The sequence below is a fragment of the Homo sapiens genome, chromosome 1, assembly GCF_000001405.40.
Source record: "Homo sapiens chromosome 1, GRCh38.p14 Primary Assembly".
Classification (NCBI taxonomy): domain Eukaryota; kingdom Metazoa; phylum Chordata; class Mammalia; order Primates; family Hominidae; genus Homo; species Homo sapiens.
In genome coordinates this window covers 101,150,615-101,176,764 of record NC_000001.11, presented here as the reverse complement: position 1 = coordinate 101,176,764, position 26,150 = coordinate 101,150,615, and the positions used below count along the sequence as shown (strand labels likewise).

The 26,150-nt window shown below is 36.7% G+C and overlaps 1 long non-coding RNA gene across 8 annotated transcripts; it reads right to left on the bottom strand.

The window, feature by feature from the left end:
• Nucleotides 1-209: 209 nt before the first annotated feature.
• LOC101928334 (uncharacterized) lies at nucleotides 210-26,150 on the bottom strand. 8 transcript variants are annotated; one of them, XR_947640.3, is made up of 5 exons: nucleotides 25,857-26,150; nucleotides 13,100-13,310; nucleotides 12,560-12,622; nucleotides 11,873-11,926; nucleotides 9,537-10,308 (listed from the first exon to the last, which is right to left on the bottom strand). It is a non-coding gene; the product is annotated as an uncharacterized LOC101928334 (long non-coding RNA). The 8 variants fall into 8 exon arrangements; XR_426738.4 differs by lacking the exons at nucleotides 9,537-10,308; nucleotides 11,873-11,926 and adding an exon at nucleotides 210-1,237; XR_947636.2 differs by lacking the exon at nucleotides 11,873-11,926 and having other exon boundaries at nucleotides 12,181-12,622.

The following is a 26,150-nucleotide window of genomic DNA, read 5'->3' as shown; positions in this document are numbered from 1 at the left end:
AGTTCAGGACCAGCCTGGCCAACATGGTGAAAACCCATCTCTACCAAAATACAAAAATTAGCCGGGTGTGGTGTCACATGCCTGTCGTCCCTGCTACTCAGGAGGCAGAGGCAGGAGAATCACTTGAACCCAGGAGGTGGAGGCTGCAGTAAGCCAAGAACGTGCCACTGCACTCCAGCCTGGGTGACAGAGCAAGACTCTCTCCCCCCCAAAAAAAAAAAAAAAAAAGAACTATGGTACTTTAGGAATACAAAAGAACCGTAATAAATGTTTCCTGTCCTGAGAAACAAACACTGATGTAAAAGATGTGTCTTCCCAAGTAACTATAGATAATAAAATCTTTAATTACATAGTACAGGCAATAAATGCAAGTCTGGAACACTATATATGTTAAATAGTCAGGTTATTTATTTTTGAAAATAATTTTGAAAATTGAACTGGGAATTCCTTTTCTCAAATGCTTACAGAATTATCCTCCCAGCAAGAGAACTTTTATAAAATAAAACTGCTATTACTATAAAATTCCATAGAAATTAAGCTAAAGAAACAACAAACAAAACTGAAATACAAAGTTCTACACTGAATTCTGATTAAAAAAAAAAAAACACAATAAATGAGCAAGCTCTGTTTCATGGTATGACTAAAATGGAATAGCATTAGGAAAACTGCCTCAGGAAGTCAGAACACAATATAAATCAGTAAGACTTTCCATACCTTTCTAGTTGCAGGAAATCTTAAAATATTACTCCATTCTGCCTGTGTGCAGCAAAGACAAGTTTCTAAAGCATTCAAAATATTTTATAAGGTATACGTTATGTGCTTTATTAAAGTAATAACTTGTGTGTTAACCTTATTTTTAAATGTCATTTTCAAAGAAAGAAGTCTTATCAAAATTGAATGAAAGAAGAAAACTACAAGAAAATGACCTAAAGGAAAGGGAATAAAAGAAAACAAGATCTTTTCTGGACGTTCAGTATTAAAAGTTTTCATGCTCATTGAAATGAAAATTACAAAATCAGAACTACATAGTAGATTTTGCAAGCATGCAGCCGGAAGTGTAAGGGCTGGTGGACTTTAGGGGCCTATGACTAGGAGACAGACTGGAAAACCAGAGACAGTACTGTGAACATAAGCTACCTTTGCCAAATAAATTCTGGAACTTACTTCTTGAACTGAGAAGTTCAGAGATGTTTTGGGACAGGACGCCAGACAGTTTGGAATGACTTACTTGATCTTACTGAAAAAAAAATACAATGTCTTTGATTACTCTTCTCAGAGTTAGTCTCATTTCCTACTTTAATTATTAAGGTTTTCCCTTTGCATATTATTGTATACTTGAACATTCATAATAATTCTTAATTTTTTCATAAAAATGTATTTATCTGCATGTATGTGTGTACGTGTGTGTTGTTTGTGCATGTGTGTCTCTATGTTTTTATAAATATCCCCTAAATAGATTGTGGTAGCTTGTTTCTTGTTTTCAGTTGGCTACCATCAATTTCTCTCCTCCCTGTATCTATCTATTGCTCTACTCCCTTGAATCTGGGCTCATTTGTGACAGATTTGCCAAATAGAATATAGTGGAAGTGACGCTGTATGACTTCCAACACTTCCCACACTTTGAAGCTTCTACCTGGGTCTCCTGGAATTCCTGGTCTTGAAATGCCACGCTGTTTGAAACCCAAGCCACACTATGGCTATGTGGAGAGACAAAAGAGGGAGAAATCCTGACCAGCCCACAGGTATTCTAGCTATTCTAGTCTAGGAGCCAGGCATGTGAGTAAAGAAGCTTTCAGAATTCCAGCCTCATCTGTCATATTTCTGCAACCATTTGAAGGACACAAAAGTGAGTAACGCTCAGCTTCGTCAACCCCCAGAAAAATGGAACATAACAATAAATGACTGTTTTAAGCTACTAAGTTTTGGTGTGGTGTGTTACACACAGCAATAAATAACTGGAACATACAATAGACATCCGAAGACAGACCTAACATTTCTTACTTACGTCATAATGCTATAAAATTCATCACCACTCTGTCATTCCAGAAATGTAACTAAATTCTTATATCTATCATATATTTAGCTGAACAATATCACTTTACTCCACTTATTTCATTGGTCACAAAAATACATTTTTACATTTTGTTGAAATTTTTAAGGGCTATAAAATGATACAATAAAAGTAATACATGTATGTAACACAGAAGTTTATATTAATAAAAATGGTTATACATTCTTTTAAAATTGACTTCATTTTATTTATTTATTTATTTATTTATTTATTTATTTATTTATTTATTTAGAGATGGAGTCTCACTCTATTGCCAGGCTGGAGTGCAATGGCGTGATCTCGGCTCACTCAACCTCTGCCTCCCGGGTTCAAGTGATTCTCTGCCTCAGCCTCCCAAGTAGCTGGGATTACAGGCGCCTGCTACCATGCTGGGCTAATTTTTGTATTTTTAGTAGAGACAGGGTTTCACCATCTTGGCCAGGCTGCTCTTGAACTCCTGACCTCGTGATCCACCCTCCTCGGCCTCCCAAAATTCTGGGATTACAGGCGTGAGCCACCATGCCCGGCCAACATCTACTATTAACGTCTCCCACCAGAGTACATTTGTTCCAACCAATGAACTACACTGACACATCATAATCACTCAGTCCATAATGTACATTAGAGTTGACTTTTGGTGTACATTTTACAGGTTTTGACAAATGCATAATGACATGTACCCACCATTATAGTATAATACAGACTAGTTTCCCTGCCCTAAAAATTTGATGTGCTCTGCCTGTTTATCCTTTCCTCCCTGCAATCCCTGGCAGCCGTTGATCTTTTCATTGTCTCCATGGCTTGCCCTTTCCAGAATGCCATGTAGCTCGAATCATACAGTCATGCAGCCTTTTCACACTGGCTTCTTTTACTTAGTGGCATGCATTTGAGGTTCCTCCATGTTTCATTGCTTGATTATTCATTTTGAAAAAATACTGTCACATTTTCTTATACTTCACTCATTCCTTAATCCTTTCAAATTTCGTTTCTGTCCTCACCCTTCTATGGAACCCTGTGCTCTTAAAGGTCACGAGACTTCCTACTCATAAAATCTAGAGCCTTTTCTGCGGCACTGAATATTGCTGCCCACTACTTCTTTAAATCCATGTTTTTGTGAAATTGTTCTTTTGCTTCTCCTTAGCTCTCTCTGCTGATTCCTTCCTTTCTACACTCTTCAAGTATAAGTATTTCCCAACTTCAGGAAATACAAGTATTTCCTTGGCCTTCTCTCTACTACCTACTACCATCTTGGCATCTCTTTCTTTCATGCCCACATTATCTGAAATATCTAACAATTATGATAGTCTGTCTTGCTTCTTATATTCAACCAGTTATCCAATTGCATCAATTTTCCCTTCATTACATTTTAAAACTGTCCCTTCTTTCCATTTCTTCTATTTCATTCCCAGTTAGGAAACTCATTAATTCTTGTTTAGATAATGGCAATGGAGTCCTAGCCAATATATTTCTGCTTTAAGCCTACTTTCTTCAAGCCCATTTTATTCAGTCCTGCCAGATTAATTTTCCTGAACTGCTTTGCTGATTAATGCCTACTTTTCTGTCATTTGAAGTATAAATGTATATTTATCATATTAATAGTATAAGGATGGAACAATTGACATTATAATGATGATGAGACAGCTGTTGTTTTTATACATAAAGCAATTATTAATAATTTACAAATAGATAAAAATAGTGAAATACAGTTGACCCATGAATCCTTTGAATAACATGGGTGTTAGGTGTGCCGACTTCTACATGGTCAATTACCCATGTATAACTTTTAGATCCGCCCAAAATTAACTACTAGTAGGCTACTGTTGACCAGAAGCCTTACCAATGACATAAACAGTTAATTAACACATATTTTGTATATTGCATGTATTATATACTGTATTCTTACAATAAAGTAAGCTAGAGAAAGTAAAATATTATGAAAATCATAAGAAAAAATATATTTACTATTCATTAAGTGGAAGTGGATAATAATAAAGTCTTAATTCTCATTGTCTTCATGTTGAGTAGGCTGAAGAGGAAGAGGAAGAGAAGGGGTTGGTTTGGCCGACTCAAGTATTTCATGGCAGTAAATGATAAAATAGATTAGTGGCTACACATATTTATGTATTTATGCACTCATGACATACCCAACTTTTTCTATTCCTATTTTTTTCTTTTCTTTTCTTTTTTTCTTTTTTCTTTTTTTTTTTTTTTTGAGACAGGGTCTCATTCTGTCACCCAGGCTAGAGCACAGTGTTTGCGATCAAGGATCACTGCAGCCTCAACCTTCCAGGCTCAAGTGATCCTCCCACTCCTGAGGAGCTGGGACTTCAGGAGTGCCACCACAGCTTGCTAACTTTTTACTTTTTATTTTTTTGTAGCAATGGGGTACCACTATGTTGCTCAGGTTGGTCTCAAACTCCTGGTCTCAAACTCCTGGTCTCAAACTCCTGGGCTCAAATGATCCTTCCGCTTCAGCCTCCCAAAGTGCTGGGATTGTAAGTGTGAAGCACCGTGCCTGGCCCTAACTTTAAAATTTATTTATTTATTTATTTATTTATTTATTTATTTATTTATTGAGACGGAATCTGGCTGTGTCACCCAGGCTGGAGTGCAGTGGTGCTATTTCGGCTCACTGCAACCTCCGCCTCCCGGGTTCAAGTGATTCTCGTGCCTCAGCCTCCCGAGTAGGTGGAACTACAGGCGCCCACCACCATGCCCGGTAAATTTTTGTATTTTTAGTAGAGACGGGGTTTCACCATGTTGGCCAGGCTTGTCTCAAACTCCCGAGCTCAGGTGATCTGCCCGCCTCGACCTCCCAAAGTGCTGGGATTACAGGCCTGAGCCACCGCGCTCGGCCAAAAAAAAATTTTCGAAAGTATTTCTATGCTATGCAGTTTGTCTGCAAGTTTTTTCAAGTTGTTGCAAATCTCCAAAAAATTTTTCAATATATTTACTAAAAAAAATTCACGTATAAATAGACCCATGCGGTTCAAATCCATGTTGTTTAAGGGTGAACTGCAAATGGACATCAGATGAAAATTCATCGGAGGAAATAGAATGGCATCCTATTCAATAAATTGGATATTAGAAGGAAGTAAGTTAGATGGCTCAAAGAGAAATTTATTTCTTTATGACCCAACAAATATTTACAAAATTTAGAATGATAATGCAAGGCAGAATAATAGATGTTATGGTATATCATAATTCTAATATTTGATAACAGTACTTGTGTCCTGACATTTGTAACTTCAATAAAACTTTTATGTTTTTCAATTTAGGTCATGAGTGTTTTATGAAAAAGATTCTACTTGGCAATTATTGATGTCATGAGTGGATGTTTCATAAAGCAGAAGTTTGCTTCCTCAAAATTTCCTCAAAATGTAGAAAAAAATACAAACTTGTATACAATATACATAATTTTTATATATGTGAACCCACATAAAAGCATGTATAAAGAAAAGGTGAAAGAATCTGGAGAAGCATCAAATATTCAAAATACATTTACAAGTTCTCCTACCTAAGTTCGTATGTAAGTTGCTATGTCATTCTTGATCTATCTGCCCTACCTTCTTATTTCTGATTTTTTAGTGGTATAATATATGTATAAGTAAATATATACATATGTAGATATTGATTCATATTTTTCCCCAGTGGGGACCCCTTAAGTGTTTTCAGGCACAGGAGTAAAATAACGTTATTTTCATCATTTTCACTCATAACATTTTAATAGATTTTAAAGAAAGTTGTTTTTCTTGGCCTTGGAATTATCTGGCATTCATAATACTAGTCTTATCTAGGTAAGAAAATACTAATCTAAAACTCAGGAAACACTATATTATTCTTGGTTCCATCATTGATTTTTCAATCTGACCAAATGTTTATATTTTCAGTTTAAAAATAAATTTTTGAAAAGCACTTATTAGCCCTAACTCTTGTTTTCTCAAAGTTTTAACATTTAAAAAATAAGAACAGAGGCCAGGCGCAGTGGCTCATGTCTGTAATCCCAACACTTAGGGAGGCTGAGGTGGGTGGTTCCCTTGAGCCAAGTTCAAGACCAGCCTGGCCAACATGGCGAAACCCCATCTCTACAAAAAAACACAAAAATTAGCTGAGTGCAGTGGTGTGTGCCTGTAGTCTCAGCTACTCAAGAGGCTGAGGCAGGAGGATTGTTGGAGCCTGGGAGTTTGAGGCTGCGGTGAGCTGTGGTCATGCCATTGCACTTCAGCCTGGGTGACAGAGTGAGATTCCGTCTCAAAAAACAAATAAGAACAACAGAGGAAGACTAATAAATTCAAATATATTAAATTGATAGAAAATATTCATTTGCTTATTCCAAATATTTGATATTTGTTGAGATTCACTAGATACCAGGCAGACAGGAGGAATCAAGACTGCCTCCATAAAGCTCACCATCTAGTGGGGCATATCAGCTAGCAAGCCTCATGTCTGTTCAAGCCAGGTTTTGCACAAAATAAATTTTGGTACCAATCATAAAACAAACTTCTGGTTTTCAGAGCTTTATGGATTTGTGGTTGCAGATAAGAGACAGTTGACTTGTATTATGGTGTTATACATACATATTCTAGGATAGATGTAAGAAAAGAATACTATGTATGTGAATACATAGATATGGCCCCAACACAGACTGGTGAAGAGTAGGAGGGTTGGTTGAGAAACAATAGAAATTGGCTCATAGGTGTCAATTGAATAAAAAGGTTATACTGTATTATTATTCCAGGGAGCTGTGAGTGATATTCAGGAAGAAATTATTCCCTGATGGGGAAATTTGAGAATACTTTTGAGCTTTCTTACTTTATTGTTGTGTTACAGATTATCAGAAACTTATTGTTACAAAGTTAACAATGAAAACTTTATTTACCTATTCAATTCTCCCACTGATAGACTTTTAAAAATTGCAAACAGCACATTAAACAGCAGCATTTTCATTTATTTCTTGCGTATCTATGCTATAGTTCAAGACTTTTACACTTTCTTACACTGTTCTGTTGTCTCTCTGGCCACAGCCATACTCTACCCTATTCCACCACACAGAGGGATAGGGTGGTTATCTTACTCCCATGCCTGAAAACCTTAAAGATCTACCCATGGGAAAATAAATTATATATCTATTTCTATCAATCAATCATCAGTCAATCTGTCTATCTACCTACTTACATACTAAAAGATAGGAAATAAAAACATAGGGAACATAGACCAGGAATGAGACAGCAACTCACACACAAACTCAGGGAGGGGCACATGCACAAGGAGACCTTATGAGGATTGAGGGGCAAACAGGACAAACTTCAAAGCTCAAGAAAGGATGCACGAAGCGTTAGCCAGGCCAGTCAGGAGCTACGCTGAAGATGTCCCTTGGAATTGAAGAATATGGAAAGCAGATCTAGAACTAGAATCCCTTTATCATGGGCCTTGAAAATCTTATCTATTAACAGCCACTTCTAAAGTTTGTTTGGTTTAGTATTTTTATGATTTCTTTCTCCCTATCTGACCTGAATAAATTATTTGCACTATTTTTCAAGGTGGGCCTTACTAAGCAAATGCAAATTCAGTACCTGATCAAGTTATACATTAATCAATCAAAAGTGTTCACTGGGAATCATTTGATAAGTGACCAGCATATAAGAGAAATATCGAGGTATTCATTAGAAAATAAATCAGGGGAATTTGAACAAATATGACTTTACTAGGTAGTCAACATTATATTGAACATAAAAAATATGTTCAGGCTGGGTGCAGTGGCTCATGCCTGTAATCCCAGCCCTTTGGGAGGCTGAGGTGGGCAGGTCACTTGAGGTCAGGAGTTCGAGACCAGACTGGCCAACATGGCGAAACCGTATCTCTACTAAAAATACAAAAAAAATTAGTCAGGCATGGTGGCACAGGACTGTAGTCCCAGCTACTTGGGAGGCTGAGGCATGAGAATCGCTTGAACCTGGGCAGCAGAGGCTGCAGTGAGCTGAGATCACACCACTGCACTCCAGCCTGGGCAACAGAGCAAGACCCTGTCTCAGTAAAAATTAAAAATAAAAAATATTTTCAAAAATCCCAGAAACTTATAAAATAGTTCACTTGCTATACCTCTAAAATATTTAAAAAGCTTTATAGCATTACTCAGTTTTCATACAACAATTTGGAAAAACAAAGCATCAGATATTCATTTCTCCTAGCAGAGAAAAAGAGCACTAAAAATCAAAACTCCAAAAATGGTCATTTGAATTATATTATGAGTATGCAAACCAGAGGAGCTTGGCTAAAGATGAAAAATGCAAAGTCTGTTTTGGTATTTATTTGGCTTAATTTGGTATTTATTTCAGTGGCAATTTAAAAAAAAATCTGCTCATACAGAACTTAATTTTCCTGAGGTGAGGTTTACATAAACCATTGATTGTGGGTACATGGAAGGTATGTAGAAATTAACTTCTTTCATTGTGCAAGCATGAGACTGCACTCCATAAGATAATCTATATTTGAACACTTTACAGCTCTGGAGGGTAGATTTTAAATATTAGAAAAATGAGGCTCAGAGAGGTGAAATGACTTGTCTACATAACCTTGTACATAGGATGCTGAGTCAAAACTAGTTTCTAGATTCCTAATTCTCTGCATCATATGCTTTTATATTATAGTACCATATAAGGTAGTAAATGTCATTCATTCATTTATTAATTTACACAAACATTAACTGAGTGCCTACCCAAAGCCAGGCTCAGGCCCAGGGGATAGAGAAGTGAACAAATGAAACAACAATCCCTTCCCTTATGGACTACATTTGAGTGGGTAAAACAGAAAATCAACAAGAAAGGCAAGCAAATATAAGTCAGATGGTGGTAATTACTATGAAGAAAAGTAAAGCAGGAAGGGAGACAAGGCTTTAGACAATGGGAGACTGTAAGTTTAAATAGGCTGGTTAGAAAACCCTCATTGAGAAAGTGGCATTTGAACTAAAATTTGAAGGAGATAAGGGGCTGGATATGTGCGTATCCACGAGGAGAGCATTCTGGGAAGGGAAACAAGTGCAAAAGCCCAAACGTGAGAGTGTGTCTAGCATGTTCATGGAAAAGCAAGAAGAGCAGTGTGGCTGGGCTGAATGAGCAAGGAGGAAAGCACTAGGAGGTGAAGCCAGATTGTGCAGGCCCCATTTGGTTTTACCCTAAGTGAGGTAGGAAGCCATTTGCAGGTTTTGAGCAGAAGTGCAGCACGATCTCATTGGTTGCCATTTGAGAATAGTCTGGATGTACAATGGCGAAAGCAATAAGACTGGTTAGGAGTTTCTAAGGATGGTCAAGATGAAATCTAGGAGGACAGACTGACAGAGGAGAAGGGGTTGATTAGTGGTTAAATCCTGGATAGATTTTGAAGGTTGAGGCAACAAGATTTCTTAATGGTTCGTATATGGGTATGAGAAAAGAGGACAGGGTCAAGGATAACTCCAAAGTGTCTTAAAAAAAAAAAAAAAAACCTCGTATATATTTATATGAGGTTTTTATTGATGGAAGACATGAAAATAGTTGAATAGATGTGGATATGCTTTGGAGAATATGAATTAAAATACAGATTACATGTATGAAAAAGTCACTTTCAGGGAAGGAGGGCCTATCTTGGAAGATAGGCAACAGTTTAGTCAGGGTGAGATAAACTGCTATAACAGAACAAAATCTGTAATGTTCGAACATAATAGAAGTTTATTTCTTATTCATCTGTAGACTAGGCTGGGTATTCCATGTCAGTGGGCTTCTCTCTTCCTTGTGGTGACTCAGGTCTGAGGTATTTTGCATCTTGTGGCTACCTCAAAACCCAGGGCCTTATTGTCATCTGTATCCCACCAGAACAAGGGGAAAGAGAGCAAGGGAAGGCTGCCCTGCTTCTTCAAAGCCTCCAATTGAAGGTGGTGCACTTTGTTGCTATTCACACTTAATTGGTGAAAACTGGTCACATGGCCACACTTAGCTGTAGGTGCAAGACATGGGGCTGAGAAATTGTATTCCTGGTTGGTAACTGTATTGCAGCTACAAGTCAATTACTGTGGAAGATAGGAAGCACAGCATGAGGACAACTCCTATGTCTGCCACAGGCAGCCATTCTCCAGAGCAGGTAAACAGGTTCCACAATTTTAGAGAGATGCAGCATGCATATTAAGGTGCTTTGTGTGTTTCTGGGGTCTTGTGTCCCTTCTCCTCTGATTCTTCCCTTGGGGTGGGCTGTCCATATGTCTAACTCCAAAGTTTTTAGCTGAGCAGCTAAATGATAGAGAAACAGATTTTTAGGAAAATCAAGGTGTTCAGTTTTTCACATGCCAAGTTTGAGAAACTACCTAAGACATTCAAGCAGAAATTGAACAGGCATCTGGATAAACAAGTCTGGAACTCACAGGAGAGATGTGAACTGGAAATATATATTTGAGAAGTCAGTAGCATCTACATGATAGTAAATCTCCAAGATTAGATGAGGTCACCAGGGGAGGGGTTATGGATAGAGAAGAGGCCAGAGGATGGAGCCCTGGAGCCCTCCAATGTTTAGAGATTAGGAAAACAAAAAAGGGCAGGCAGTGGAATGCAAGATTAACTTTTCCAAAGGCTGCTGAGTGCTCAACTCTGATGAAGACTGAGAACTGGCCACTGCATTTAGCAGTGTAAATGTCATTGGTGACCTTGTCAAGTGTAGTATCAGTGGAATGGCAGATTGCCTGACTGGAGTGGGCTTAGGAATGAATGGTGGGGAGTGGAGTGGGGGATAGCATAGTCAATAGTCAGTTTTTATGCATTTGCCATGACATTTTGTATGTAGTTATTATAATCATATACAAAAAGTTTTAGTAATTATATAAACCATATAAAACTATAGGCCCTCTACTATACACTTAATTCATTTTGAAAAAAAGTCATTCCAACAAGATTTGTCTTAGAAATGAGGAAACTGATGGTTAAAGAAGTGAAGTAACTTGCCCATGTTCCCATGTGTGGTAAAGGGTGGAGCTGGCATTTGAATTCAAGTCTGACTCCTAGCCTTCACCCTTGACCACTGTGCTACTTTACCTTTAAATATTACAATGAATAGCCACCCACATGCGATTGATTCTTTCTTGGGGTTAAATACTAAATTGGAAGAAATAATGCAGAACAGCTAACAAAGATCCACCCTCCTTACTGGTCAAGTTATTCTTAGTCTCTGGCAGGCACGATGGGCAGAACTAAACAGTATTGTTCATCATTTCAGCTGTCAGCCAACTCACAGCAGGTCACTGTCCATGAAGCCCTTTTCAATATAAAACGGTTTGATGAGCCAATTTTATCAATGTTGCTAAACTCAAATAACAACTTCTATTGCAAAGAAATTCAGCTCCATAGCCATTAATACAGTAGGAAAACTAGGTCTGCCTACAAGTCCAGTAAGCCAAGCAGAAGGAAAAGGAGTGGATTTTTTTTTGACCTGGTCTTCTATTTGTATGAAAAGCCTTCCTACTTACCCTTCAGCAGAGAAGGGGTTGTATTAAACTGGGCAGGACAAATCTCATAATAACCTGTAAGCTCACTCCTGTTTCACACAGTCCATTTAATTTTGACTGGTATTTTAATTTACCCTCAGACTCAGCTATTGAATTCTCCAACACCCTGGCTTGAGTTCAGTGGATAAGACAAAGGTAACATCCAACAGAATCATGATGGAACTTCACATGGTCATATGGCCATCAGGATAAAAACACGAGTAACAGAAGGCTCTGTTCTGAAAGCATGAGTCGTATAATTCCATTACAGCTTGGTCCAATACTTATGAAAGAAAAGTACTAAACTATTAAAAACTTACATTAAGAATTGCTGAAGAAATTACAACTGCTGGTTTCCTGTTTTGTGTGTGTGACTTGATGGAAAAAAAAAAACACTGCAGTTTAATATGATAATCACGTATTAAGACAAGAAAACCAGAAAAGCTAATGTAATAGTTTTGTAATCTTACAAATTAGGTAATGTATGTAAAATCGCTTTGGGAGTTCCAAAGGATTTACAAACGTGAGCTAGTGTTACCAGGTAAACAAATTCAAGGGATATCATAGCTATATAACAGGATCTATTGACCACACACTTAATTATAGTTTTATGGAAATAAAAACTTACAGTAAAAATAGTTGCACTTGTACAGCATTTCTCATTCTTTTTAAAAAAGTTATACATGTACAAGAAAAAATTCAAATACTGCAATAGTACAAGCTGTGCAAAGTATTCTTGAAACAGGTCCTCAACTCTTATCCTCAGAAGCAACCAGACTTCCTAGTTTTTAGTATATCCATATGTTTTATGAATTTTATGTCAATATATCTGTTCACATTTTTTTTTTGAGATAGAGTCTTGTCTGTTGCCCAGGCTGGAGTCCAATGGTGCAATCTTGGCTCACTGCAACTTCTGCCTCCTGGGTTCAAGTGATTCTCCTGCCTCAGCCTCCCAATCTGTTCACATTTTTACCTAGATCTTTGAAATAAAAATAATCGAGTCTCACCTGAGAGTTTTCCTTTATACTTTCACATTCTGTGGATTTTTGATATAGTAATTACACTTCATTCTGAAAAATAAATAACATTAATTTTTTTCTCTAAAGTTATTCAAACAATAAATGTAGAAGTAAGTTATGTTTTCATCTTTAACAATTGACCTGTACAATCTACCAAGGCAATATATCTGACATTACTAGAGATCAGAACTTTAAGTCAGTATTCAGTCAGACAAATCCTTAAATGTTTGCTGTTCAATGTTCTTCTAATCAAAACATGGTGAGAAACTGATACCGATTAACACTGGGCCTTTGATAGATCCTGATTTCCTAGTTTCATCTAACAGAAGTTGTGTTGGGTGAATCTTGCCTTCGATTCCAAAGTCTTTATTCTTTATGTAGTCCCTAAATATTTTATGAATCCAGAGAACATTTCAATACAAAACTGAAATACACAACTGGGGAAGGAGAAGAAAAATGAAGTCCCTTTAGCCTTTGAATATGAAGTTTCAACACGAGGCACAGAAATACATTGCATTATAGTTTTACCTTTCGTTTCTTCACTGGGTGTCATTAATATGATGCTCCAACTTACGTAGATGCTTAGCACATGCAGATCTGGGCAAGATTTTTACCACACTTCTTTACTAGATGGAAAACCTTTGAATGATTCAGGCTCTTTCTTCTGGCTAATAGGCATTATCAGCAGCCTTCGAAAACAGTGTTTCTCCTTTCACAATAATCTGGCAGCTTTTGAAGTCTTTGGAAACAAAATTCAATCTGTTAGTGTTACAGAAGGGAAAGGCATCCTGAAAAATAAACTTTTGCCCTATTTATAAGTTATCAATTTTATAATTTAATATGAGAAAAGGCAAAATGCAACCATTATGATTGGTTAAAATAACAGATTACATTTAAGCATCGCTGAGGTACTTCAGGAAAATGTGCACAGAGCCCTCTGACATAGGACTTCCTTTCACTCCAATGTCCACACCATCCCCCTCTTCCTAAAACAAGATGCTCATTGACCTCACTTGTTTCTGAAATGGCTATTAAAAATAGTTTCTCATTCAAAACTTTTCACCATGGAGCTATATAATGAAAATTCAAGTATTAATGTACATGATAAATATACCCGGTAATTCAATGAGAAAAAATTTTCCCAAAATATAGAAATAGGTTGTTCAAAGCCACAAAGATAAACAACAGACTAATTAATTTTTTTTTTCCTTCTCACCTGACTTGTTTTTGGTCATGGAAAGACATAGGCAAAGCTTGGCTGAATACCAATCATTCGTTTTCTATAGATGCACTTAACAATTCATTCTGCACAAAGTATGCTAGGATAAAAAGGTTTAAATTGGCATTAGAAATATTACTACTAGTGATAGCATTTTAACAGAAGAAAAGGATTTCCTGGATTCTGTAAAACTATATAGTAAAAAAGGACAACTAAAAAAATGGATGAAATGGAGTCTGTCAGATACAGAAGATATAGGATTAAAAACAGATCATGGATTCAAACAAATATAAAACAAGAATTAAAGTTACTCATTATAATGAAAGAGAAAAAGGACCTGAATTATGCCTGAATATCTAGTTCCTGATGCTCATATAAATCAAATATCACGCTTAAATGTGCGAGTGAACTAAATAACTAATTGGCTTCTGCTAGTTCTGAACCAGAGGTGTACAGTGGTTGGGGAAAAGCTCGTCAGCACCATTTCCTTTCTTTCACAGAGTATAGCCTGTTGCTTTTCATTTCCAAAGGAGAAAAAAAGCACCAGGTTTGTAAGGGTTTTTTCCCTCCTCACTTCATCCCTAGACCCCATTTAAGATTTAATCCTTATCCCTTCAATGAGTACAGCATTTCCATTCATTTCAAAGTATAATATTGGTGCTGATAAGAATAGGGCCAAATTTTAAAAAGAGATTAATTATGCTGAGAAATGTCCATTGTAAGTACTGCAAGAACACTGAACAAACAGCCAGTGTATACTGAAGTTGTTTGCTGCTGTTTATAGGAAATTACATAAAACACAATACTGGAACAGAAGGAAGTAAGTTATGTGGTCATAGCTTTGTGGAAAAAGGAAAATTTTTCTATGTAAAATAAATAAGGACCTTCCAAAAGAAGTAAAGGTTAAGACATAGAAATATATATGTTACATTTCACACACACAAATAAACCAAGCAAATAAAAAGAACTCCTAAAACCTAATTAGAAAATAATATAAAACCTGATTGCAGCAATTACAGTGCTCTATTCCTCTAAACGGGAGATGATAAGCCATATGCTATGCCTGTGACAGCAAAGACAATTGTTCTAAGGATCTACCACTTTAAAAAATAAAAATAATTCTTAAAATAATTACATCAGCATATGAACTCTGGAAAATTTCTTCTACCGTAATAAGGTCAGATGGACATTTCCTGTCTCACATTTGTAGTACACGTTGTCTTTTAGACAATAATAGTGAGAAACAATAGTTTGGCATGAGTTCAATGCATACTAAGAAATGCCTGGCTCTGCATATGGCTAGCCAGTTTTCCCAACACCATGTATTAAATAGGGAATCCTTTCCCCATTGCTTGTTTTTGTCAGATTAGTCAAAGATCAGATGGTTGTAGACGTGTGGCGTTATTTCTGAGGCCTCTGTTCTGTTCCATTGGTCTGTCTGTCTGTTTTGGTACCATTACCATGCAGTTTTGATTACTGTAGACTTGTAGTATAGTTTGAAGTCAGGTAGTGTGATGCCTCCAGATTTGGTCTTTTTGCTTAGGATTGTCTTGGCTATATAGGCTCTTTTTTGGTCTGGTCCCATATGAAATTTAAAGTAGTTTTTTCTAATTCTGTGAAGAAAGTCAATGGTAGCTTGTTGGGGATAGCATTGATCTATAAATTACTTTGGGCACTCTGGCCATTTTCACTAGATTGATTCTTCCTATCCATGAGCATGGAATGTTTTTCCATTTATTTGTGTCCTTTCTTATTTCTTTGAGCAGTGGTTTGCAGTTCTCCTTAAAGAGGTTCTTCACATCCCTTGTAAGTTGTATTCCTAGATATTTTATTCTCTTTATAGCAATTGTGAATGGGAGTTCATTCATGATTTGTCTCTCTGTTTGTCTGTTATGGTGTATAGAAATGTTTGTGATGTTTGCACGTTGATTTTGTATCCTGAGACTTTGCTGAAGTTGCTTATCAGCTTAAGGAGATTTTGGGCTGAGACGATGGGGTTTTCTATATATACATGTCATCTGCAAACAGAGACAATTTAAATTCCTCTCTTCCTATTTGAATACCCTTTATTTCTTTCTCTTGTCTGATTGCCCTGGCCAGAGCTTCCAATACTATGTTGAATAGGAGTGGTGAGAGATGGCATCCTTGTCTTGTGCCAGTTTTCAAAGGGAATGCTTCCAGCTTTTGCCCATTTAGTATGATATTGGCTGTGGGTTTGTCATAAATAGCTCTTATTAGTTTGAGATACATTCCATCAAAACCTAGTTTATTGAGAGTTTTCAACATGAAGTGGTGTTGAATTTTGTTGAAGGCCTTTTCTGCATGTATTGAGATAATCATGTGTCTTTTTTTCATTCATTCTGTTTATGTAATGGATTACGTTTATTGATTTGCACATGTTGAACCAGCCTTGCATCCCAGAGATGAAGCCGAGTTAATTATGGTGGATAAGCTTTTGGATGTGCTGCTGGATTCGGTTTGCCAGTATTTTATTGAGGATTTTCACATAGATGTTCATCAGGGATATTGGCTTGAAGTTTTCTTTTTTGTTGTTGTTGTGTCGCTGGCAGGTTTTGGTATAAGGATCATGCTGGCCTCATTAAATGAGTTAGGGAGGTGTCCCTCTTTCTCTATTGTTTGGAATAATTTCATAAGAAATTGTACCAGCTGCTCTTCATACCTCTGGTAGAATTTGGCCGTGAATCCTTCTGGTCCTGGACTTTTTTTTTTGGTTGGTAGGCTATTAATTACTGCCTCAATTTCAGAACTTGTTGTTGGTCTATTCAGGGATTTGACTTCTTATTGGAAACTGGACCCCTTCCTTACAACTTATACAAAAATTAACTCAAGATGGATTAAAGACTTAAGTGTAAGACCTAAAATCATAAAAAACCCTTGAAGGAAACCTAGGCAATACCATTCAGGACAAAGGCATGGACAAAGGCTTCATGACTAAAACACCAAAAGCAATGGCAACAAAAGCCAAAATTGACAAATGGGATCTAATTAAACTAAAGAGCTTCTGCGTAGCAAAAGAAACTATCATCAGAGTGAACAAGCAACCTATAGAATGGGAGAAAATTTTGGCAATCTATCTATCTGACAATCGCTATTATCCAGAATCTACAAGGAACTTAAACACATTTACGAGAAAAAAACCAAACAACCGTATCAAAAAGAGGGCAAAGGATATGAACAGACATTTCTCAAAAGCAGACATTTATGTTAGCAAACATAAGAAAAAAAGCTCATTATCACTGGTCATTAGAGAAATACAAATCAAAACCACAATGAAATACGATCTCATGCCAGTTAGAATGGCGATCATTACAAAGTCAGGAAAGTATGTGGAGAAATAGGGATGATTTTACACTGCTAGTGGGAGTGTAAATTAGTTAAACTATTGTGAAAGACAGTGTGGCAATTCCTCAAGGACCTAGAACCAGAAATACCATTTGGCCCAGCAATTCCATTACTTGGTCTATACAAAAAGGATTATAAACCATTCTACTATAAAGACACATGCACACGTATGTTTATTGCACCACTATGCACATATAGCAAAGACTTGGAACCAACCCAAATGCCCATCAATGATAGACTGGATAAAGAAAATGTGGCACATATACACCATCTAATACTATGCAGTCATAAAGACATGAGTTCATGTCCTTTGCAGGGACATGGATGAAGCTGGAAGCCATCATTCTCAGCAAACTAACACGAGAACAGAAAACCAAACACTGCATAGTCTCACTCATAAGTGAGAGTTGAACAATGAGAATACATCACACACCAGGGTCTGTTGGGGGTTGGGGGATAAGGGAGGGATAGCATTAGGAGAAATACCTAATGTAGATGACAGGTTGATGGGTGCAGCAAACCACCATGGCACGTGTATATCTATGTAACAAACCTGCACATTCTGTACATGTATCCCAGAACTTAAAGTATGGTAAGAAGAAGAAGAGGAAGAGGAAGAGGAAGAAGAAGAAGGAGACGAAGAAGAAATGCATGGCTCTTGATCACTGGGATGAGTTAGCCTCGAATGGCAAAGATCTCAATGATGACAAAAATACAAAGATAGTGTCTGGGGACTGGTGGCCCTAAAGAGTAAGATTCAAGAAGTGGACATATCTCTGACATCAATCTTTAATGTCTCTTGATCATTGAAAAGCTCTTGTGTTTAGTATTTACATTTACACAGATGGCATTTATGCTTGTATATGAATAGGTTGGTATTTTTGCTTGTTGGTTTGCAAAGCAAACTGTGATAAAGAAAAATAACGAGTTGGCAGTTCCTCTTAGATTGTTAACTAGGATTGGCCATTACTTTCACTATTGCGCCTCCTCTCCTGCCCTGAACAATCAGTTCAGACAAGTATGAGGGTTGCCTTGCTCCTTACCAGACTTTGCAATCTGTTGGCAATCTTTACCCCATCCCTGGACCTCCCAGCTATTTTGAACACCCTGAGACAGGTCCACTTGGTACTGTGTCCCTCATAAATTTGTTCATCTCCCATCTTCTCTGATGCTAGGTTGGAAGCCTCATTATAGGATGCTGCCATCAAAACAACCTGTACTGGTATAAGAATATTGTGTCAGTCATTTCCAGCACCATGTCTCATCTCTAATCCTCTGCCATTCAGTTAGGGAAAACATGGAGAAAGCATTCTGAAATAAGGTAACGGATGCAGAGGGGCTGTTAGCATTGGAACAAGCATTTCAGAGAGTCTAGGGACAGTCTTAGGAGGAGACGAATCTGGATGAGAAGTTGCAAAGCAAAAAGAATGACAACAGGGTAAAGGGATAGGAGAGAGGATAACTGTCTTTCATTCAGTGCCAGTGAATTATTACAAGGAATGAGAGAATTGAAAGTCATCTTTGCCCAGTCCTTCTCATTTGCTCTCTATAATCAATCAATCACCAAGTCCTCATTATTTTTTACACCCTTGGAGTAAAAAATACCTACTAGCTTTTGTTTTTCCCCCAAATAATAAGGCTTTGTTTACTTAAAAATTATATGAATAGTGCATGGTGTCTATTTTAAAATTCCAAAATGATGTGGAAAAATACAGAGAAAAAGGAAAAGCTATCTGCAATTCTACCATCCAGAAATAAGCATGTTTTAATATTTTATTGAAAGTCTTCTAGGTATCCCTACATATGCAGATATATGTTTTGCACACACACACACACACACACAAAAAGAATTTTACATAAAGTTGGCATGTTATACTTGAAGTTTGATAACCAGTTTTTACTTAATAATAGGTCACAGGCATTGTGATGCACAAACAACTTTCTATTTCAATATTATATATCTATGCAATAATTTTTAATCATTACCTAATATTCCAATAGGGGGATCTATAATAATTTATTAACAAACCTTTCGTTGAAAGAATTATTTTCTCAATTTTCATTGTTATTAACAGTTCCAAGATGAATACTTTGTACATATATCTGTACTGTATTCTGTGACTATCTTCACTAATATGATAATGAAGATTGTATTTTTATTTCCAGTATTTTTTTATCTTTGGTCAGGTTTTAACATTTTGGAGGTCATGTTTATTCTTTGATAAATTGCTGAGTTCATTTTTATATTAGAATACTTTTCTCTTATTGTTAAGAGCTCTTAATATATCCAGGATGCCAACCTTTCCCATCTTTCTTATCATTCATATCTCACAAGTGTTTTTTACAGTTTGTCCCTTACTTTTTAAACTTAATTTTATGATGTTTTGAAGAAGCAAAACCTTTACTGTTTACATAGTCAAATTTATCAATAATTCTTTTTTGGTTTATTTAGCTCTACTGATTTAATCTCCAAACATTCCTACTATCACCAACCTAGATCAGATCCTCTATCGTCTTTTATCCAGATACCTATAACAGTCTGGATTGGTCTCCCTGCTCCCAGTCTCTGTCTTTTGGAATCTGCACTCCATGCAGCTGTCAGAATGTCCTATTTAAAATGAAAATCTGGCCAGGTCATTCTTCTACCTGACTGTTTGTTCAGTGCTGTGTGTTCCAAGTTGGATATTCATACAGCCAATGCTATATGAGGTGGCTCTTCATAAAAATGAAATAAAACTAAAATAAAAACTAACTTCACTAATAAAACTAATAAAAACCGTTCTTAAATTCCAAAATGATGTGGAAAAATGCAGAGAAAAAGGAAACGTCATCTCCAATTCTACCATCAGAAATAAACATGTTTTAATATTTTATTGAAAGTCTGCTGGATATCTCTATATATGCAGATACATAATTTGCACATACCTGCAAAGAATTTCTCCCACAAAGAATGGAACATATTCCTGGAGCATTACTTATTTGTATAGATTTTTGAAGAAATAAAGTACATTATTTTATTTTAAGAAAAACACACGTATATGGAGCAGGATGCATGATCCCTATGAATTTGCAAAATATACTGGAAGACTTCAAAGAAATATTCGTATTTAGGTGAGCATGTTCAAAAGTCAATGGATATGGAGAATAAAGTTTTAAACCTCTTGACATGTGCAACAGAAACTGCCTTGCATTCGACAATATCCATTGCCTTTTCCTCTTGATCACATAGGATTTCCAGCATCCCTTGAAGTTAGGTGTGACCATGTGATTGAATTCTCACTCATAGAATATGGGAGAAATTAATGTGATCATGTAATTTATTGTCCAAACCGAGACACTGTTAAGAGTGAAAGAGGGCACTATTAATTGTTGTGCTGAGAATTCAGGCATAAACTGGGTCATATGATCACCATGGGAAGAACTGATGTGTGCCACTCCAGGGTGGACTCAGGCCTAACTCCTCCCTCTCTTCTCCAGGATGTAGGCAGATGCAGGAGGTCTAGCAGAAGACTCAATACTCTAGGTAGGGCCACAGTCTGGAAGGCTTGTGCTAAACTGTCAGGGAGTGTGAACTCCATTTCTGTTATTTCAAATCATTGTTCATTACAGCATCTTTGCTGGACTGACTTTCCACAATGTGCCCTCTCCCTACATCTCCAGCCTCTCCTTTCATCAGTCTTGAGCTTGAATTTAAACTCTAGCAAACTGAATGCTCATACATTTTTAAATGCCTGTTTATATGTCAGTTTTTCTCATTAGTCAAGGAGCTACTTGATGGTAAAAGCCTAATTATCTTCACAGCACTTACTACCTGGCATAGAATAGACTTCATAAATATCTGTTGAATGAAGAAATGTCTAGCCAAATGAGGAGTAAATCTTTCAATAGAGGTTATTTCACACCTGGAACTAAAAATACCAGAACTATACACCTAATGGAAGATATTATATCTGCAGACAAGTATTCAGATTCAAGATTTTATAAAAACAAGCTACACATTTTAGTAGTCCTAAAATACGAATGCAAAAATATTCTTCCTCTTTGCCTTCAGTGTTTTTTATTTTCACCCCCTTCCCCCCGCCATGTGCAAGCACCCACACATTCACTCATTTCCTAGGGGAATATTTGACTTAATTAACAATTGTAGAATAAGTTAGAAAGAAAATAGAGAATTCAGATTTTAAGTTCAGATCCTAATGCTGGCCAATAATCCTTACATGAGGTGCTTTGGCTCAGCAGCGGGATTTACCTCTCCTCCCTCCCAAAGTGATTAAGAGTGTATGTATAATTGACAATGATGCACACTAGTGCATGTTATCAACTCAAGAAAGGGGCTTTGTCGCCTGATTTCCGTTAACCTTAATAGTAGTTAAGCTGCACACACAAAGCATAATGTCCTCATGCTTTAAAAAAGGAGGGGCTTTCATCACCTAGATTATGAAATATTGATTAATTCATGTATGCTCAGACATCCATCTAAAAATGGAATCATTCAATCTGTCATCCTTCTCCCTCATCCACATATAAAAACAAAATGCAATTCTGAGAAGAACAAAAGGAGTGATGAGAGGGTAGGAATTAGGAAGAAGGATAAGAGCAGACAAAGAAACAGGCTGAAAAATAAAACATGTCAAACTATGCTTACAGACAGACACGCCACATCCACACACAATCACACACACACAACAACCACTCTACTAATTAATACAGCTTGCTTTTGTGCCAGATATTAGGGACACATTAATTAGAGAGAAATCTCATTCATCCATTTTTCAGTTCATTAATTATGCATCAATGACAAATTCGTATTGGCCTGCTATAAGACAATCTGTTCCAACAAAGATCTGATGCTGCACATGACACAGCAGTTATGGGGCTTTCCTGCCTCTTTGGATGGTATTTGGGATCTACTCAATTCCTATGTGATGTGTATTTGTGTCCCCTACTGAGTATTCTGTGATTATGGAATGTCCTTTAAGCTGACTACAATTGTTTCTTAGCTAATACTTCATTCATCTCTGTCACAGGCACATTGAGAATCCCATTCAGCTAGACAAAAAGCAATGCAATATTGTGAATGTGCTTAATCCCACTGAATTATATACTTAAAAATGGTTAAAATGGTAAATTTTATATGATGTATATTTACCGCCATAAAGAAAGAAAGAAAAAAATTTTAAACCAAATGAACATGTCTATAAACTTTTAGAAAAGTTAAATTATATGGGGACTATAAAAGTGAAAAAAGAATTTGAAAGTTCTCGAACAGTCTCAGACCTCAGAATGTATTTCATTTTATGCAGAGAATATTATAAGATGAACTTCAGAGCCCAGACAACCTCCAATGTGCTGCCTGCAAAGGGATTTGGGGAAAGAAAGGATGTATGCGTATGAATGGCCTCATCAATAAATATTAACTGAGCATTCAGAAGAGTCTTAGCACTGTACTAGTTAATTTGGAGCTACCTATATTTAATTACATCTGTTCTCCTACCATACCATTCCTTATGTCCCTGGCTTATTTCTTTATCACTGCCTTGATGTCACAGCTCCCTCTGACCCAAGTACAAATAAAGGTGAAAAAATTCACCAGAGTTTGAGTAGTAAGCATATAAAAGTTTCTTTTTCATTGAATAAGTCTCACTTTCGAGGAGTCCTTCAGATCCATGAAGTGCCTCATACTTAATACTTACTACATAATAATACTTACTACAGAGTCACACTCTCAGTGGGCACACAGCAAATGTCAACTGACTCAATGACCTTTTCCCAACCCTTTGTATCAAGAGAGTCAGTATTAAATGTCATCAAATCCTATTTCACAGTGAAAGTTGATTGAACATGCAGTTTAGAGGGGAATTTTTAACTTAACACGTAACTAAAATTACTTCAGCAGTTGCTGTGTAGCATTGATTTGAGGCAAACTTCTGATTAATAAATTGAAACCTTTCAAAATGAAATCTTAAGAAAGAAAAATAGAAAAAATACAATAAAGTTTTTGTTAAATATTTTGCTCTTTGTCTAATTTTTCACTATATAAATACTGCTAATAGATATTTTTATAAAAATAAAAATAAACCATTAATACCCCAAAGAAAGCTGCATACCTTGTTAAAATCTGTTTTGTCACTTTCCCTTAAGCTTTCTTATTGTAAGTATTTATTTTTATCTAGATTTATTTAGTGAACAGACTGAGTTATTTAAATTCTCTTCATCATTGTATCTCCAGTTGTGTCCATATTTATCCAATTCCCCATCTCCAGTGAAGGCTTGTCTGGGTTTAGTTCAGCCTGAAAGAGGCCAAGAAAGAAGACAGGAGTGTCTCTTGCCCCATACTATATAATGTGTGGAACAAGAGGGAAAGCATCAAAGGTTACCTGAAGAAAACACTGCTGAGGTAAGAACATCTCAGGGTCCAAATGCTCATCTAAACAAGGCGGACCTAGGTGGTCAATGAGATCCTTGCTCATTAACTGGGAAACCAAGTGGCTAGAGAATAAAATGCAGGTCCAAATGGCTGGGCCACATTTTTGCATGTGTCTTAGCATCATGTTCTATGAGCAGATCCGGTTTATGTAATGAGGAGATCAAGATTGGGACAGATCATGTTCAAACATCCTCAACATGGGGCTACTAACATTTGTGTAATATTTTAAAGTTTTACGTATAGCAACTCAATGGAACATTGAGTTAACCCTAAGAGGTTGCTATTAATAGTAATCCATATTTAACAGATGAGAATAGGGCAGAGGAATGTGATGCCATTGTAGGACAGCATCTGGGGCTTGGCTTCCACTCATCTAGTTACTGAGAAGCACCCATGGCTCTGTCTCAGGGCAGGATCCCCTCTCCAGTTAGAGGAGCCAGTCTGTGAATGTGTTGCTTGCTGACGACCTGCCGACTGGCACTACTCAGAGAAGAAGCAGTGAAACGAACTGCATTCAGGCTGAGAGGAGCATGGGGCCTGGGAGGTCTTGGTGAAAGTTTTAAGATCTGTTTCTCACTTAAGAGGTTCTAGAAGAAAGGCAGTAGGAAGTAGTAGCCAAGTGTGAGACTTCATGAAGTTGTGCACTGATAGATCTCCAAATTGTTATTATTTTAAGACAGAGTCTCACTCTGTCATCCAGGCTGGAGTGCAGTGGCACGATCTCGGCTCACTGCAACCTCTGCCTCCCAGGTTCAAGAGATTCTCCTGCCGCAGCCTCCCGAGTAGCTGGGACTACAGGCGCCCGCCACCACACTCAGCTAATTTTTTGTATTTTTAGTAGAGTCGGGGTTTCATCCTGTTAGCCAGGATGGTCTTGATCTCCTGACCTCGTGATCCACCCGCCTCGGCCTCCCAAAGTGCGGGGATTACAGGCGTGAGCCACCACGCCTGGCCTCCAGATTATTTTTTAATAAAAGATTGCTGAGTGACTTTGGATATATAGCTCAGAAGCAATTCAAAGAGTTTAAGTAAAATTTCATCTCCAAAATAAACACACAAAAAAAGCCTTTCTTCAGTGCCATCTACTTATGTATATGGTAAGACTTCTCAGGACATGCATGTATAACAATATAAAATACGGACTATATCAATGCTGAAATTATCTCGTTCCAGCAATAAGCAATAACTATTCAGCAATAAATACACACAAACCGATTGTCAGGCAAAACAAGCCCTAAAACAACAGAAAATAAAAGAAGCAGAATTTTAAAAAATTAAAAAGCCCAATTCCCTGCACATTTATCTCATTAACAGATGTATTTCTAGTAAAATTACATTTACTTCTTAGTAAACATTTACTTACATTAACTCTTTTTGTCAATGTTTAAAATCATTTGGATCAATTATATACTGCTAATAATTGTAATGTGAGCCCTCTAGAAGTTTGGGTGTTATGATTACAGGGAAGTAAATTTACACAAATTTTTATTTATATAAATATTTTTGTTGAAGTGAAACATAGGGTCATCAATTTGTTCAAGCATAAACATATATTGGAACAAAATTCCTTGGCAAAGTGGAATGGAAACATGAGTTTAAGGAAAAAAATGATGTAAATATCTATTAAAGAAAGCTTAATAATATGTATAATGTGTTTTTAAATGGATAGTAGGGGTATTGAATTGCCATAACATTTAGATTACATTAGTTATTACTTAAAAAGTGATGTAACAGTTATATTTTTAAGGAGAATATTTACAACACCAGGGAAATCACATCCTCTGTGACTATTTGAACGTATAAGAAAAGTTTTCAGCTGTTAACAATGTGCAAGGGGGACACACCATATTTTTCAAAATTCTATTAGGCTGTATGTGAGCAGGAAAAATTAAAGCCCGCTATGCTACAGGAACACATCACTAGCTCTAGTATTTTCACAAGAAATGCAGACATTTCTGAAAGTATCTCCAAAACCTACTGAAGAAAGCAGAAGACAATACCTTGAGAGCACAAAATCATGGCAATTCATCCCCAAAGCGAATATGACCAACCTAAAAATTCCTATCTCAGCTAAAATCTCCACAGTTTTCTGTTGGATTCTTCTGCTACTACATCTTAAAACCCACTGGTCAGCTCACCATACATATCATTCAAAAGATAAGAATGTGGGAAGTTGATGTAAAGTTATCACGCAGTGATAAGCCAGAGTATAACTTATATGACAAAGAAACACACATACATGCGATCACATAATCTTTGATCCCAACGTAACTCACCTGGCTGATATGTGGGATTGCATCACAGTTTCCCGGGAGTTGCTCTTAAATGACTAGTTAGAAAGTTATTTACCCTGATGGAATGGCATAGGCCTAAATAAAAAAGACTGACATTGTACACAGGAATGAGACTTCAAACAGGAAATGACAATCTCTCTGTGTGTCTTAATTTATCTTTGGGGAAAATTGACAAAGTTAAAATGGAATTAAATTTTAATGAAAATTCGTAGAGAAAAAGTATTAAAAACAACTTTGCCGGGGCTATTAGAACATGGAGTTCTGCTACAAAAATGC